Genomic DNA, 18,099 nt, shown 5'->3' on the forward strand with positions numbered 1-18,099 from the left:
ATGCTGGATTACGTTTATTGATTTGCATATGTTGAACCAGCCTTGCATCCCAGGGATGAAGCCCACTTGATCATGGTGGATAAGCTTTTTGATGTGCTGCTGGATTCGGTTTGCCAGTATTTTATTGAGGATTTTTGCATCAATGTTCATCAGGGATATTGGTCTAAAATTCTCTTTTTTTGTTGTGTCTCTGCCAGGCTTTGGTATCAGGATGATGCTGGCCTCATAAAATGAGTTAGGGAGCATTTCCTCTTTTTCTGTTGATTGGAATAGTTTCAGAAGGAATGATACCAGCTCCTCCTTGTACCTCTGGTAGAATTCGGCTGTGAATCCATCTGGTCCTGGGCTTTTTTTGGTTGGTAAGCTATTGATTATTGCCTCAATTTCAGAGCCTGTTATTTGTCTATTCAGAGATTCAAATTCTTCCTGCTTTAGTCTTGGGAGGGTGTATGTGTCGAGGAATTTATCCATTTCTTCTAGATTTTCTAGTTTATCTGCATAAAGGTGTTTATAGTATTCTCTGATGGTAGTTTGTATTTTTTAATTTTCTTTTGTACTTGAGATGAACCATATTTGCATTCTAACCCCAACCTTTAATACAACCAGGATGTTTTTACTTTCCCTTTTTTGTGTAAGTAAAAAGCAAACATTGGTGAGGAAGGTAGAAGATGTGTGTCCCCTCCTCTTTAATTGTTTTTTTTTTTTGCGACAGAGTCTCGCTCTATCACCCAGGCTGGAGTGCAGTGGCTGGATCTTGGCTAACTACAAGCTCCGCCTCCCGGGTTCATGCCATTCTCCTGCCTCAGCCTCCCTAGCAGCTGGGACTACAGGCGCAGGCCACCATACCCGGCTGATTTTTTGTATTTTTAATAGAGACAGGGTTCCACTGTGTTTGCCAGGATGGTCTCTATCTCCTGACCTCGTGATCCACCTGCCTCAGCCTCCCAAAGTGCTGGGATTACAGGCATGAGCCACCATGCCCAGTCTAAAATCTGACTAGTTTACAAATAGCAAAGATTTCTGGAAAACAAAGTTGGGTTGGTTTTTTTTTCAGGATCAGAAACTGTTATATTTGTATTCCTTCTCTGTGGTGATCTAGAAAAAGCTAAAGGAAAGCAGATTGGACCTGCTGTAGATACTTCAGTGAGATTCAATCAGTTCGGTTTCCGTGAAACCTGTTGAGTCTTGTGGCTTGAGAGTGCTAAGGATTCTCAGCTCTGCTGCTTATTAGCTGCATACTCTTTTTTTTTTTTTTTTTTTTTTTTTTGAGATGGAGTTTCACTCTTGTTGCCCAGGCTGGAGTGCAGTGGCACGATCTTGGCTCACTGCAACCTCCACCTCCTGGGTTCAAGTGATTCTCCTGCCTCAGCCTCCTGAGTAGCTGGGATTACAGGCATGCACCACCACATCCAGCTAATTTTACATTATTAGTAGAGACGGCGTTTCACCACGTTGGCCAGGCTGGTCTCGAACTCCTGACCTCAGGTGATCTGCCTGCCTCAGCTTCTCAAAGTGCTGGGATTACAGGTGTGAGCCACCACACCTGGCTTTAGCTGCATAATCTTAGATAAGTTTATTTTTCCAAATCTGTTGCTTCATATGTTAAAGCTGGGGTGTGTGCTTATGAAAACTGTCCACCTCTCCTATGAAGTGTTTTGTGACCTATAAAGTTGTGTAAGGAGTAAATTGGAGATTTTCTTTTTTTCTTTCTTTCTCTTTCTGGGGGATATGGCACTGTCAGTTTCAGTTTTTCAGTCCTTTTAGCTTCTTACTTAGACCTACTGGAGCTCCTCCTGGCCTTCATTTTTGCCTGGTGGGAAGCCTAGCTCCAGGACAGATGAGTACACAGTACATCAGGGCAGAGCATCCATTTACTCCATTATGAAGGTCTTGTCTGTCTATATGCCATCAGCTTTGTCAAAGAGCACTTGGGTTTGACTTGTCTTTTGATACTCCTGTGTTTCTGCGGCTTAGACTACCATGTATTAAGTGATGCTTTTTGAATTGCGGATTTTCCAATCTCCTCATAGATAGTCCGCAGACGTTTCAGACTTGAAATGTCCAAAACTTAATTCAGTATCTCTTCCAATCAACCTCCTCTTCAAACCATATTTCTCTTTCTCAGTAGCATCATCATCTCTTCTAGTTCCCCATCTAGAAACCCTAATCATTTTAAATTCTTTCCTCTTATTTCTTTTTTTTTTTCCTGGTGTCCCCTGGGGTTTGTAAAGCTCTCCAGACATTGAGACTGTGCGGGCATGTCTCACTCCAAATTGGGCGAAATCAGTCATTGATTTTAATAGATTTTCACCAGGTACCTTTTCTGCGTTAAGCAGTGGGTTAGAGGCTAGACTCAGAGATGAGTAAAACCAGACCCCACCCCCTGACCTAGCCCTTCTTGCTAAGCCAACACTTGCTAAGCCAACACTTAGTGAGAGCATCGGAAAGCCTGGTGGGCTTCTGAGCCCTGGGACTGGAGAAGTGGGGGTCCCAAATCCCGTTACAAGATCAAAGAGAATAACAACAGGAAACTGCCAGAAATACCCAGTCATGGGCAAAGGGGCCTGTCCACATACCACTTGATGCACAAGAACCCATGTCCTTACTTGAGAGTACATGTGTGTTCACAAGCACGTGGAGCCCAAGGGCCTGTGCAGCTGTCCATGTGGGGATGGGTATCAGGCTTCTGATTGGGATGCACAAGTGGTGTGGGAGTCTCTTTTTTAATTATTATTATTATACTTTAAGTTTTAGGGTACATGTGCACAACATGCAGATTTGTTACATATGTATACGTGTGCCATGTTGGTGTGCTGCACCCATTAACTCGTCATTTAGCATTAGGTATATCTCCTAATGCTATCCCTCCCCCTTCCCCCCTCCTCTTATTTCTTTTATCTTCCTCATTGTTAGTCACCAAATCTTGATTTTACCTGTGAGAGCCTGGGCGATCAATTTAAGTTGTTCCAGTTAGGCTTTTATTGCCAAGCAGTCATTTGTATTTTCTTAAGGATCTTAGGAAAAGCATGAATTAGAGCAGAGCCTACCCAGATATAGAGAGAACTAGATGGCTGTGGGTTCTGGAACTGGCTACGCTCTTTGACTGTCTCTTGGTTTTGTGTTCAGCTCTTCCTCATGATTTTCATCTTTCTGTATCCTTTCAGCTTTTGCCCCAGATAGTAATCCCTTCATTATCTCAGTACTTGCATGTCTAAAATTCCAGAAAGAAAATATGATTCAGCTAAAAAATATCTCTGCTTGGCAGGACCTTTAATGTTAGGTGCTGGCCAGCCAGTTGATTTCTGGTGTCCCTATGTCCAGTATGTGCCTCAGCCTGCCGAGTAGCTGGGATTACAGCCACCACCACACCCAGCTAATTTTTTGTAATTTTTAGCAGAGACAGGGTTTCACCATGTTGCTTAGACTGGTCTTGAACTCCTGACCTCAGGTGATCCGCTCACCTCAGCCTCCCAAAGTGCTCGGATTATAGGCGTGAGCCACAGGGCCCAGCCCACCTGAGGCTTCTTTTTCCTTCCCAAGCCACATCACCATCCTGGTGGAACCCTCCTGTGAGGACAGCCAAGGCCTGAACTACCTGCGGTGGGGAGCACCTCAGGGTTTGCCCAGGCAACCAGCCAGCCCTGGTCCAAGGCATCCTGGAGCGAGTTGTGGATGGCCCCGTGCCCCACCAGACAGTGCGCCTGGAGGACCTGGACGAGAGCGGTGAGCCCCAGGCTGGGGAGCCAGTGCTGCCTGGCATCCTCCGGGCATCCTACCTGGCTGAGGGTCTGGGCCTGGGCCTGCCGGTGACAGCCATCCCTGTCCTTCCTGCTGAGGGGGCAGGCTGTCAAAGCTTATGTGAAAGCAGCTGAAGAAACAGTCACAGCCCATAAGGCAATGCTCCCTGGCCTTCGTTTCCACAGTGATAACGACACTACCAGAATATCCCCCTCAGTGCAGTGGCCAAAGTCAGAAAGTGGGATTAGCCAGGCATGGTGGCTCCCAGCACTTTGGGAGGCCAAAGCGGGTGGATCACTTGAGGTCAGGAGTTCGAGACCAGCCTGGAACATGGCAAAACCCCATCTCTACTAAAAATACAAAATAGTAGGGCGTGGGGGCGCACGTCTATAATCTCAGCCACTCAAGAAGCTGAGGCATGGGATTACGGCTGCCAGAAAAAATGTTGTTGCCCAAGCTAGAGTGCAGTGGCGCAATCTCGGGTCACTGCAACCTCCACCTGCCAGGTTCAATAGATTCTCCTGCCTCAGCCTCCCAAGTAAGTGAGATTACAGGCATGTGCCACCACGCCTGGCTAATTTTTTGTATTTTTAGTAGAAATGGGGTTTCACCACGTTAGCCAGGTGAATCCCAAAGTTCTGGGATTACAGGCAAGAGCCACCACACCCAGCCGATATTTTGAATTTTTAAGGTTCATCAGCTTGGTCATTTGTGTGATCCAAAGTTGTAGGCATTTTAAAAACATTAAAAATGTTTTCATTTTTTATTTCTTCTATAATTTTAGACACATATTCATTTTTATTTCTTCTGCAGTTTTAGTTATATATCCCTAAGGTCATACAGCTAGTAAAAGCTAGGATTCAAGCCCAGGTCTTCTCATTGTGTTGCTTCTCCAGTACTGCACTACCTCTCCAAGATGCTTTTGATGGTATCTACAGGATTGCTAAGACCATATATGGGAAAGGGCTTTGTAAACTGTGAGGCTTTTTTATGTAAAGCAGAACATGATGTGAGATTAAGAAAAGTAAATACTAAAGGAGAAAAGGATGATAAACCCATTTATATAGTCTGTCAATTTAACTTTTTTAATTTTTTTTTTTTTTTTTGAGACAGAGTCTCGTTCTGTCACCAGGCTGGAGTGCAGTGGCACGATCTCGGCTCACTGCAACCTCTGCCTCCCAGGTTCAAGCGATTCTCCTGCCTCAGCCTCCCGAGTAGCTGGGACTACAGGCACGTGCCACCACTTCCAGCTAATTCTTTGTATTTTTAGTAGAGACAGGGTTTCACCGTGTTAGCCAGGATGGTCTCGATCTCCTGACCTCGTGATCCACCCGCCTCAGCTTCCCAAAGTGCTGTGATTATAGGCATGAGCCACCCATACCCGGCCAAGTTTAAATGTTTATTTTAATGTTTGTGCAATAACGTCCAGTTTTACCAAGCAGAATGATGTGCATAGGAGCTTTTATGCAGAACTCACTGTTCTTCAGTTAGAGCTTATTACTCTAATAGTGAAATCAAATCCATCTTCAGTTGCTACATGGCTTTGTTAAACAGTTAAACTTGAGTTGGAGATGCTCTGTCGTAGGGAGGAATTTTCGCTCCACAGATGTGTTCATATAATGTATTTTCCCCTTTCCCCTATGGAAACTTTGTGGAAAGATTATTTCAGTGTTAACCCTGATTGATATTTTAGTAATTAAACAAGTGTCTGTTACTCCTTTATCAAGCATTTAATGAGTGTCTTCGGTGTGCTAGGCACTGCACTAGACTCTAGGGATTCAAGGATGAATCACACTTAGTTTCTACCCCCTGGGAATTCATTCTGGTTAGAGAAATTGTTAAAAAAAAATTATCATCCTATGGGATACTTTTTTAAAGTATGAAATGAGATAATGTATGTGAGAAAACTTTGGAAGCTTTACACATTTAAGATTTTTTTCTCCAGTGCATAGCCTGATGCCTCACATATTTTAAATGCTCATTATACCCTTGAATGAATTGGTGAAGAGCCAAGAGTTATGAGAGCATAATACTAGAGAGTAGATGGATTAGTTCTGCCTGGATGGACAGGTGAGATGCGGAGGCTTCCAAGAATATAACTTTTGAACTGGACTTGTAAATATAAGTTGCTTAAGAATTGAGAGAGAAACCGGGCCAAAGGCAGGGGTGGCAGGTCAGTGCTGCTCGGGGGCTTCTCCATCCAGGTCCCTGGAGCTCCCGGTCCCTGGAGCTCCGCACTTGGGGGCACAACCTGCATGAGGCAGCGCCACTCTGGTGACTGGCCGGCCATGCCGTCCCGGGCTGAGGACTGTGAAGTGTTGTACACCATTGGCACAGGCTCCTATGGCCGCTGCCGGAAGATCCGGAGGAAGAGTGACAGCAAGATATTAGTTTGGAAAGAACTTGATTATGGCTTCATGACAGAAGCTGAGAAACAGATGCTTATTTCTGAAGTGAATTTGCTTTGTAAACTGAAAAATCCAAACATCGTTCATTACTATGATCGTATTATTGACCGGACCAACACAACACTGTACGTTGTAATGGAATATTGTGAAGAAGGAGACCTGGCTAGTGTAATTACAAAGGGAACCAAGGAAAGGCAATACTTAGATGAAGAGTTTGTTCTTCGAGTGACAACTCAGTTGACTCTGGCCCTGAAGTAATGCCACAGACGAAGTGATGGTGATCATACTGTAGTGCGTCGGGATCTGAAACCAGCCAGTGTTTTCCTGGATGGCAAGCAAAACGTCAAGCTTGGAGATTTGGGGCTAGCCAGAATATTAAACCACGACACGAGTTTTGCAAAAACATTTGTTGGCATACCTTATTACATGTCTCCTGAACAAACGAATCACATGTCCTACAATGAGAAACCAGATATCTGGTCATTGGGCTGCTTGCCGTATGAGTCGCATGCATTAATGCCTCCATTTAGAGCTTTTAGCCAGAAAGAACTCGCTGGGAAAATCAGAGAAGGCAAATTCAGGTGAATTCTATACCGTTACTCTGATGAATTGAATGAAATTATTATGAGGATGTTAAAGGATTACCATCGACCTTCTGTTGAAGAAATTCTCGAGAACCCTTTAATAGCAGATTTGGTTGCAGAAGAGCAAAGAAGAAATCTTGAGAGAAGAGGGCGACAATTAGGAGAGCCAGAAAAATTGCCGGATTCCAGCCCTGTATTGAGTGAGCTGAAACTAAAGGAAATTCAGTTAGAGGAGCAAGAGCGAGCTCTCAAAGCAGGAGAAGAAAGGTTGGAGCAGAAAGAACAGGAGCTTTGTGTTTGTGAGAGACTAGCAGAGGACAGACTGACTATACCAGAAAATCTGTTGAAGAATTACAGCTTGCTAAAGGAACAGAAGTTCCTGTCTCTGGCAAGTAGTCCAGAACTTCTTAATCTTCCATCCTCAGTAATTAAGAAGAAAGTTCATTTCAGTGGGGAAAGTAAAGAGAATGTCATGAGGAGTGAGAATTCTGAGAGTCAGCTCACATCTAAGTCCAAGTGCAAGGACCTGAAGGTCCTTGCTTCATGCTTCATGCTGCCCAGCTGCGGGCTCAAGCCCTGTCAGATTTTGAGAAAAATTATCAACTAAAAAGCAGACAGATCCTGGGCATGCGCTAGCCGGGTAGAGAGACACAGAGCTGTGTACAGGATGTAATATCACCAACTTTTGGAGACTGATGTTCAAATGCTGTAGCGTTACATACTTGGTTCCATGAGCCGTGCCTTTTTGTATAGTCCACATGATATTTCAGAATTGGTGTTGCTGTTCTTCAGCAACTGTTGTACAAAATGTTCACATTTAATTTTTCTTTCTTCTTTTAAGAACACATTATAAAAAGAATACTTTCTTGTTTGGTTGGGCTTTTAATCCTGTGTGTGATTACTAGTAAGAACATGAGATGTGACATTCTAAATCTTGGGAGAAAAAAATAACAAGAAAAAAATATTTAATCAGGAGTAGCACTCACTGCATAGTTTTAAATGACTGAGTGGTGTGCTTACAATTGTCATGTCTAGATTTGAATTTTAAGTCTGAGATTTTAAATGTTTTTGAGCTTAGAAAACCTAGTTGGATGCCATTTGGTCATTAATACCATGACATCTTGCTTATGAATATTCCATTGCTCTGTAGTTCAAATCTGTTAGCTTTGTGAAAGTTCATCACTGTGATGTCTGTGTTCTTTTTTCCTTTTTATTCTGTTTAACAGAATAAAAGAATTCTTTAGATTCCCTGTAAAAAAAAAAAAAAAAAAAAGAACCAAGACAAGCGGTTCTGCCGGGGCAGCTGTCAGTCATTAAAGTGCCTGGATTTACATGAACCACATATCTACAGGCTAATACAGTTTATAGGATGCTTTTGTTTACACTATCTCTTTTGAGTCTTACGACAGTTCCATGAGGTGAATTCATACAACCAAGAGAAGCCCTGACCAGAACCTGGGTTCTAGGGTGTAAGAGACAGCATCCGGCCAGTTTTTTCTTTATAGTTTCACGAATGTTATGATTGCTAATATTATGGTATTTCTATTATTATATTTGTGAAAGCATGGTTTTCTGAGTTACAAGTATGTGAAAGACACATGTATACATGTAATGAAATGTATAGTTTTCCTTTTATTTCTGTAAAGCAAGTTAGCTTGTATTGATACATGATGAGTTTTTTTCAGAGGTTTCAGAAACAGGTTAGAAAATGCTTCCATAGTATTTCATAGATTCTTTATAATTTGAGCAGTTTTTCAGGGTTTTCAGTCCATTTAAACCATTTATCTAATGAACAGTAAATAGAAACTCTGAGCTCTACATTCTCTTGTAAGCTTTCTTTTTCTGTTATAGTTGAGCAAATTTGTTGACATTCTTATATTTTTGCATTTTGATTTTTTGCAAAATGTTTGGTTAAAATACTTTGGGGGAAAAATGCAAGTACTTTGTTCTCATTTATAGTTGACTTCCTACTTTGTTTATGTTGTCTTCTGTATGTATTAAGACAGTGAAGTACTGGCAAAAGAATAGGTAAATAGATCAATGGAACAAAATAAGCACCCCAGAAATAGACCCATACAAATAGAGGCCACTCATCTTTGGCAGAGGAGCAAACGCAATTTAATGGAGAAAAGATTGTCTTTACAATAAATAGTGCTGGAAACAACTAGACATCCACATGTGGAATAATGAATATAAACACTGACCTTACACCTTTCCCAACAATTAACACAAAACAGACCATAGACCTAAATGTAACACAAAACTAGCAAACTTCTGTAAGTTTAATAACATAGGAGAAAATCTAGGTGACCTTGGGTTTGGCAATGAGGTTCTAGATGCAACACAAAAACACCATCTACGAAAGAAAAAATGGGCAAGATGGACCTCATTAAAGTGAAACATGTCTGCTGTGCCAGAGACACTGTTAAGAATGAAAAGACAGGCTGGGCGCAGTGTGGTGGCCCATGCCTGTGACTCCAGTTACTTGGGAGGCTGAGGCAGGAGGATCCCTTGAAGCTCAGGAGTTGAAAGATGCAGTGAGCTGTGATGGTGCCACTGCATTCCAGCCTGGATGACAGACGCCATCTCTACAAAGAAAAAAAAGAAATAATGCAGAGAAATCTCATGTACGGGCCCACTAAGTTTTATAGTGTTTTTGCTTTATTGCACTTTGCAGATATTGTTTTTTACCTATTGAATGTTTGCGGCAACCCTGTGTCAAGCAAGTCTTGCGGTGCCGTGTTTCTAACAGCATATGCTCACTTTCTGTCTCTGCATTACGTTTCGCTGATTCTCACAATATTTTAGATGTTTTCATTATCATGTTATAGTGATCAGTGATCTTTAATGTTGCTATTGTAATTGTTTACAAGTTCATTGATATAAGAGGGTGAACTTAATGTTGTCTATGTGTCTTTTTGTTTTGTTTCGTTTTGTTTTGTTTTGAGACAGAGTCTTTCTCTGTCACCCAGGCTGGAGTGCGGTGGCATGATCTCAGCTCACTGCAACCTTCACCTTCCGGGCTCAAGCGATCCTCCCACCTCAGCCTCCCGAATAACTACAGCAGGCATGTGCCACCACACTCAGCTAATTTGTAAATTTTTTGTAGAGACGAGGTCTCATTATATTGCCCAAGCTAGTCTCCAACTCCTGGACTCAAGCAATCCTCCCACCTCGGCCTCCCAAAGTGCTGGATTATAGGCATGAGCCACTGCACCCTGCCAGTTATGTGTGTTCTGACTGCGTTGTCCACCATCCATTCCCAGCTCGCTCCTTCTTCTCAGTCCTCTCTATTACCTGATACACAACAATATTGAAATTAGGCTAATTAATAACCATGCAGTGCCCTATACATGTTCAGGTGGAAAGAAGAACTGCATGATTCTCACTTTCAATCAAAAGTCAGAAACAGCTACCTTTAGTGCAGAAAGCATAAGGAAAACCGACCTAGGCTGAAAGCTAGGCCTCTTGTGCCCATTAGCCAAGTTGTGAAAGCAAAGGAAAAGTTCTTGAAGGAAATTAAAAGTGCTTCTCCAGTGAATACACAAATGATAAGAATGCAAAACAGCCTTGTTGCTGATGTGGAAAAAGTTTTAGTGCTGGTTAGAACATCAAATCACCCACAACATCCCCTTAAGGCAAAGCCTAATCCAGGGCAAGCCCCTAGCTCACTTTAGTTCTGTGAAAGCTGAGGGAGGTGAGGAAGCTGCTGAAGAAAAGTTTGAAGCTAACAGAGGTTGTTAGTTCATGGGGTTTAAGGAAAGAAGTCATCTCTATAATATGAAAATGCAAGGTTGGCCGGGCGCGGTGGCTCACGCCTATAATCCCAGCACTTTAGGAGGCCGAGGCAGGTGGATCACAAGGTTGAGAGCTCGAGACCAGCCTGGCCAACATGGTGAAACCCCGTCTCTACTAAAAATACAAAAATTGGGCCAGGCACGGTGTCTCACACCTGTAATCCCAGCACTTTGGGAGGCTGAGGCAGGTGGATCACCTGAGGTCAGGAGTTCAAGACCAGCCTGGGCACTGTGGTGAAACCCCGTCTCTACTAAAAATACAAAAATTAGCCGGGCACAGTGGCACGTGCCTGTAATCCCAGCTACTCAGGAGGCAGAGACAGTTGAATCGCTTGAATTGGGAAGCAAAGGTTGCAGTGAGCCGAGATTGCACCATTGCACTCCAGCCTGGGCAACAGAGCAAGACTCTGTCTCAAGAAATAATAATAATAAATAAATAAATAAATAAATAAATAAATAAATAAATAAATAAATAAACTGGGCGTAGTGGCATGCCTGTAATCCTAGCTACTCGGGAGGCTGAGGCAGGAGAATCACCGGAATCTGGGAGGCGGAGGTGCAGTGAGTTGAGATCACACCACTGCACTCCAGCTTGGGGGACAGAGTGAGACTTTGTCTCAAAAACAAAACAAAAAAAAAAGTGCAAGGTGAAGCAGCAAGTGCTGATGTAGAAGTTGCAACAAGTTATCCAGAAGATCTAGCTAAGATCATTGATAAAGGTGGCTCCACTAAGCAACAGATGTTCAATGTAGAAGAAACAGCTTTTTGGTGGAAGAAGATGCCATTTAGGACATCCCTCCTAGAGAGAAGTCACTGCCTGGCTTCAGAGCTTCGAAGGACAACTGACTCTTCTCAGGGGCTAACACAGCTGGTGACTTTAAATTAAAGCTGTTGTTTGTTTATCATCCCAGAAATGCTAGAGCCCTTAAGAATTACGTTCAGTCTACTCTGCTTGTGCTCTGTCAATTTAACAACAAAGCCTGGAAGACATCTGTTTACAGTGTGTTTTGCTGAATATTTTAAGCCCACTGTGGAGACACACTGCTCAGAAAAAAAAGAATTCTTTCAAAATTATTATTTCTTTTTGACAACGCACCTGGTTCCTCAAGAGCTCTAATGGAGGTGTACAAGGGGAGGAATATTGTTTTCATGCCTGCCAATACAACATCCATTCTGAAGCCCATGGTTCAAGGAGTGGTTTTGACTTTCAAGTCTTATTAGTTAAGAAATACATTTTATAAGGCTAAAGCTGCCACAGATAGTGATTCTTCTGATGGACCTGTGCAAAGTAAATGGAAAGCCTTGTGGAAAGGAGTCACCATTCTAGATTCCATTAAGAACATTGATGAGTGCCAGGCACGGTGGCTCATGCCTGTAATCCCAGCACTTTGGGAGGCCGAGGTGGGCGGATCACCTGAGGTCGGGAGTTCGAGACCAGCCTGGCCATCATGGAGAAAACGCCATCTCTACTAAAAATACAAAATTAGCCCGGTGTGGTGGCACGTGCCTGTAATCCCAGCTACTTGGGAGGCTAAGGCAGGAGAATAGCTTGAACCTGGGAGGCGGAGGTTGCAGTGAGCCGAGATGGCGTCATTGCACTCCAGCCTAGGCAACAAAAGCAAAACTCTGTCTCAAAACAAATACATATATGGAAGCAAACTAAGTGTCTATAGATGGATGAATGGATGAATAAAATGTGGTATATATATGCAGTGGAATGCTATTCAACCTTCAAAAGAAGGAAATCCTGCCGTTTATGACAATGTGGATGAACCTGGAGGACATATGCTAAGTGAAATAAATCAGACACAGAAAGACAAATATCATGTGATCTCACTTCTCTGTGGAACCTGAAAAAGTAGAATTCACAGAAACAGAGTGGAAGGGTGGTTACCAGAGGGCAGGGAGCGGGGGAAATGGGAAGTTGTTCGTCTAAGGGTAGAAACTTTCAGCTGTAAGTTCTAGAGATCTAAGGTAGAGCATATGACTATAGTTAATAAAAATACATCGTATACATCCCAGCACTTTGGGAGGCCGAGGTGGGCAGATCACAAGGTCAGGAGATCCAGACCATCCTGGCTAACACAGTAAAACTCCGTCTCTACTAAAAATACAAAATATATATATATATATATATATATATATATATATATATATATATATATATATATATATATATATATCTGGGCATGGTGGCGGGCGTCTGTAGTCCCAGCTACTCGGGAGGCTGAGGCAGGAGAATGGCGTGAACCCGGGGGTGGAGCTTGCAGTGAGCCAAGATCGCACTGCTGCACTCCAGCCTGGGCAACAGAACGAGACTCCTTCTCAAAAAAAAAAAAAAAAAAAAAAAAAAGGGCCAGGTGCGGTGGCTCATGGTCTAAAAAGCCATCAGGGATAAAGGTTTCTCTGAGTGCTGCTAAAAGAAACCAAGACTGGGGCCCAGTGTGGTGGCTCATGCCTGTAATCCCAGCACTTTGGGAGGCCAAGGCAGGCTGATCACTTGATGTCAGGAGTTCAAGACCAGCCTGGCCAACATGGCGAAACCGCCCTGCCCCTGTGTCTACTAAAAAATGCAAAAATTAGCCAGGCATGGTGGTGCACACCTATAATCCCAGCACACTAGGAGGCCGAGGGAGGTGGATCGCTTGAGCCCAGGAGTTCGAGACCAGCCTGGCCAACATGGTGAAACCCTGTCTCTACTAAAAATACCAAAATTAGTCAGGTGTGGTGGCACGTGCCTGTAGTCCCAGCTACTGGGGAGGCTGAGTCAGAAGAATCACTTGAACCCAGGAGGCGGAGGTTGCAGTGAGCTGAGATTGCGCCACTGCATTCTAGCATGGGTGACAGAATGAGACCCTGTCTCAAAAAAAAAAAAAAAAGAAAATATACAATGCCTGGATTTCCTTTAAAATAATCCAGGGAGGGGAGAAAGGGTGGAGACTATAGATGAGATAAAACTGCCCATGAACTGATACTTGTTGAAGCAGGGTTAATAGTACATTATATCATTCTTTCATATACTATTATTTTGTATTTTTTGTATCCAATAGTTTTCATAATCAAAAGTTAAGTTTTCATAATCAAAAGTTAATTCTAAAATCTGAAAGAATATGCACAAAAATGTAGGAAGTCAATGTGAAATTACACTAACACATGAATACTTTCCTCCTTTTCTTCTTTTTTTTTTTAAACGGAGTCTTGCTTTATCACCCAGGCTGGAATGTGGTGGCTTGATCTCGGCTCACTGCAAGCTCCGCCTCCCAGGTTCAAGTGATTCTCCTGCCTCAGCCTCCCAAGTAGCTGAGACTACAGGCTTGTGCCACCAGGCCCAGCTAATTTTTTGTATTTTTAGTAGAGACAGTATTTCACCGTGTTAGCCAGGCTGATCTTGATCTCTTGACCTCGTGATCTGCCCGCCTCGGCCTCCCAAACTCCTTTTCTTCTTTTTCTGTAGCAATGAGCATGCATAATCAGAAAGAAAAATAATGTTTAAAAGTGGGTTTAAAGTCTCTGTACAAGTTGTGGCTAAAAGGGGCACCAAAAGTAGCCACTTGTGGGCAGGATGCTCCCTCCTCCCTCCGGGAGAAACACAGGTGCTGCTTTGTGCCTTTAGCTCCTGGATCCTGGGGCTGAGCTGGGAGGGAGTAAAGGAGAGGGGGATGGGAGGGTGTGTACTGGGGCCTGTATTCTACGCTGGGCAGAGTCCCAGCCACTCCTCATGCAGCTTGTGAGGAAGCCTTTGGTGGTCATCTTTTAACAGGTGAGTAAACTGAGGCTCAGAGAGATCAGTGGAGTCATCTGAGAGAATGTGCGTTGATGCATGTTCCCTGCTGGGCACTTCCTCTCTCATCTAATCCCTGAGGCCAGCCCTGTGGGGTGGGTATCATTCTCCCCAATTTATAGAGGAAGAAACAGCACCAGAGAGGGGAAGGGACTCACCCAAGGCAGGGGATCCTGAGGGCTGGTCTGGATCCTTTCCCCAAGTGCTTAATCCCACAGTTCAGAGGGCCCTGAAAGGCGCTAGGGGCTTCTATCTTAGCACAGGGCACTTCTGCCAAGGTCGTGGCAACGACTGGGGGTGCAGGAGGCCTGGATGCTTTGTGAGGGCTCTGCCTTGGCACCACCATGAGATCTGAGCTTTTCCCTCACCTGGGCAACTGGAATGAGCAATAGCCATCCGTGGCTAGGTGGGGTTGTGGCTTGTAAACTGTAAAGTCCTATGCAATGTGCAGGGTGGTGGAATGAGCATCTGTGTACCGCCCCAGACTGCAGTCTAGTAAGTCACTTGACATGAGTCACCCCGTCTGAGCCTCACCTGTGAAGGGGCAACATTAAGCTGAGGGGGGAGGTGGGGGGAAGAAAGGGGACAGCGAAAGGCAAGGAACCCAGCTAATGGAGTACCCAGACAGCCTCTCCCTCCCGCACAGCTCTCCATCTCCATCCAGTCCCCCGTCTCTACCCCAAACAGCTCAGTTCCCCAGAGAAGCTCCCTGGAAACCAGGAGGCTGACTTCTTCACCAACTGCAGAACCACCTGAGGCCACGTGGCAGGTGAGTCGGTGGCCTTTCTCCTGGACTCGCCTGCCTGGCTCCTTAAGGCTGTGCTGGGCTGGCCTGGGTCACTCACCCTTTGGAGTCTGGCTTCTTAAGCAATGTCCTATAAAGCCAGGGCTGAGCCTCCGCAGGCCCTCTGAGATGGAGCTGGCCTCCGGGGCTGCCCGACCCAGCAGCTGTGACCTCCCACCCCAGATCCTGGCTCCTTCTCTCTTGCCAGCTCTACTCCAGGCATCGAGCTTCCCTCTCTCTCTCTTTTTTGGTCTCTCTCAAATCTTTCTCTTTTCTTATCCTCTCTCCCTCCACCCCTTGCCATTTTAGTCAGTCTTTCTCTTTCCTTCTTCTCTTTTGTCTCTCAAACTCTTTTTTCTTTCTATCTTGGTTCATATCTGTTCAGGGAAAGCCTCTTTCTGTCTCGGCCTCTCCTTTTTTCCTTTTCACTGTTTATTCTTCCCTCTCTCCTTTATCTCTCCGTTGCTCTACTTCTCTGCCTTTTTCTGAGTCTGTTTCCTCTCACCATCTCTCTCTCCATCCGTCCCTCCCTGTATCTGCCTCTCTCTCCATCTCGCTGCTGTGTCCAGCTCTCTCTCTCGCTCATTCCTTCCTCGCCATCTGGGGATCTCCCCGGCTCCGTGTCCCCTGCAGTGCCCCGCGCCCCAATCACCGGCCAAAGCGCCCGCGGAGCAGAGCAGGGCCAGCCCGGCCAGCGCGCAGAGCAGGGGCCGCATGGTGCCGGCCTGGCTGAAAGCAGCACGGCATGTGCCCGCAGCCGCCCTTCCCGGATCGTGCCCGGCAGGCCCTGGAGACAATGCTCTCAGTCCGAGCCAAAATTCCTGGGCGGCTCCGGGCTTTCTGGCTGGAGAGAACCCGCCCCCTCCAGAGGCCCCTGGGCACCCCGTGGGCAGCGCAGAACCCAGAAACCCCCGGGAGCTGAGGCACCGACTTGCCACCCGGGCGCCTTCGGAGGAAAGGGGGCCGCCCCCCGAGTTGAGTTGGATGGAGGGGTTGGGTGAGGTCATGGGCTCAAGGCGACTGAGCCTGGGATCAGGAGTTTGTTATGAGCCCATTTCACAGGCAGGCGAACTGAGACTAGAGAGAAGTGTCTTCCTCAGCATCACTCTCAGCCATGGCACAAGATCTGAACCCTTGTCTCCTGGGAGTGTGGAAGGTTTTCTCTGCCTACCAAGAACAAGAAATTAATTCTAATTACATGGAACAGTGTCTGCCCCTAAGAGGGAGACCCAGACACTCACTGCTCTGGTAAGGAAGTGATAGCAATGTGAAAAGGTACTTTTCAAAACAAAAAGGTAAAGTCATGACTCTCGTAAAGATATGAAATTAGCATATACTAAAGGTTTTATTTAGTTCATTATTAATGAGGGAACAAGTAAGATGGTACAAGCAGTCCAAAGTTTAGAACACAGTAGTGGAAACTTCCCCTATGGGACATGCCCATCCAACAAGTGCAACAAGAAATTAAGTTTTAGTGAAAACACCAAGCAAAAAAGCTACAGCTCTAACTTCTCTGCTGCAGAGCCCTGAGTGCCTTGCCTGGCTGTAAGAGGAATACTTTCATCACCAAGCCTAGGAGAGTGCCTTTGTCCATCGAGGGTCCCCATTGGGGTTAACTGGAGCCCTTGCAGATCAAGGCTGCCTCTGCCTTCTGTGTTCCTGTCTGTGGCTGTGCTGTTGTCCCAGTCATCACCGTAACCAGTGATCCAGTTCTCACTCCCTCCTCCAGAGCAAGATAATAGCCTCAGATGAAGAAATTCTGGTTCTGAGCCCGAGAATCTGAGACAGACTCAGATCTAAATCTTTTTAAAGCCTTCAAGGAGATTATGATGCCCACGTGAGCTGGCTCAGAAGAAGAATTTATTTCAGGAATGCCAAGAATTTCTCATGCTTGGTGGTAGGACATTCCTTGATAATTTAGCCAGGTGAGAAGTTGTCAAAGAACTGCCAAACCCATAAGGATTCTTGTAGCTCACAGCCAGGAGGCTACCTTATATTTTGAATTTAAGATTAAGGGAAAAAAAAACACAAAAAACATATACAATACATTCTTGTTGTGGTCGAGCATAAAGTAATTAACTATACAGAGAAAAACATGAAAGTCTTTTCTGTTACGAATTCCCTCTGTCCAAGATTCAGGTCCAGTCCCCTCGGCTTGCTAGGCTCTGCCTGTTCCACATCTATGCATTCCCCATCTATCTAATGTATATTCAGACACAAATGTATATACATGAGATCAAATCATAGATATTTTGAAGATTTGCTTTCATTCATGTTTACCTCAGTCATAACATTAAATCTTGGCTGTGTGTAGTGGCTCACGCCTGTAATCCCAGCTCTTAGGGAGGCAGAGGTGGGAGGATAGCTTCAGCCCAGGAGTTCAAGACCTGCCTGGGCAGTATAGCAAGACCCTGATCTCCACAAAAAGGAAAAAAAAAGTATAAAAAATAAAATAAAATAAAAATAATAAATAAATAAAAATAAAGAAGCAAAAGTTTATACACTTAAATTGTGCTTCATAATGCATGTTTTAGTCTTTCATTTTTCCTAGAAATTATTTATGTACCCAGCAAATATCCATCAATTAAATGAGTACAAGGTTTTGAGTTACCTAAAGATCTTTGAAATTATTCTAAAGTGGGCATACCATGAAAGATAACTTTTTTTTAATTTTGAGATGGAGTTTCACTCCGTTGCCCAGGCTTGGAGTGCAGTGGCACAATCTCGGATCACTGCAACCTCTGCCTCCCAGGTTCAAGCGATTCTCCTGTCTCAGCCTCCTGAGTAGCTGGGACTACAGGCCCACACGATCACATCTGGCAAATTTGTAAATTTGTAAATTTTTAGTAAAGACGGAATTTCATTATATTGGTCACAGTGATCTCAAACTCTTGACCTCAGGTGACCCACCTACCTCGCCCTCCCACAGTGCTGGGATTACAGGTGTGAGCGACCTCGCCCAGCCAAAAGATAACTTTTGAAATAAAATTCATCAGTGCAATAAATC

The 18,099-nt window shown here is 44.5% G+C and overlaps 1 pseudogene; it reads left to right on the forward strand.

Annotated features, from left to right (window-relative positions):
* Nucleotides 1-5,911: 5,911 nt before the first annotated feature.
* Nucleotides 5,912-7,919, forward strand: LOC107984133 (serine/threonine-protein kinase Nek2-like; annotated as a pseudogene).
* Nucleotides 7,920-18,099: the final 10,180 nt, after the last annotated feature.

This window comes from Homo sapiens, chromosome 14 (assembly GCF_000001405.40).
Source record: "Homo sapiens chromosome 14, GRCh38.p14 Primary Assembly".
In the NCBI taxonomy this organism is placed as follows: domain Eukaryota; kingdom Metazoa; phylum Chordata; class Mammalia; order Primates; family Hominidae; genus Homo; species Homo sapiens.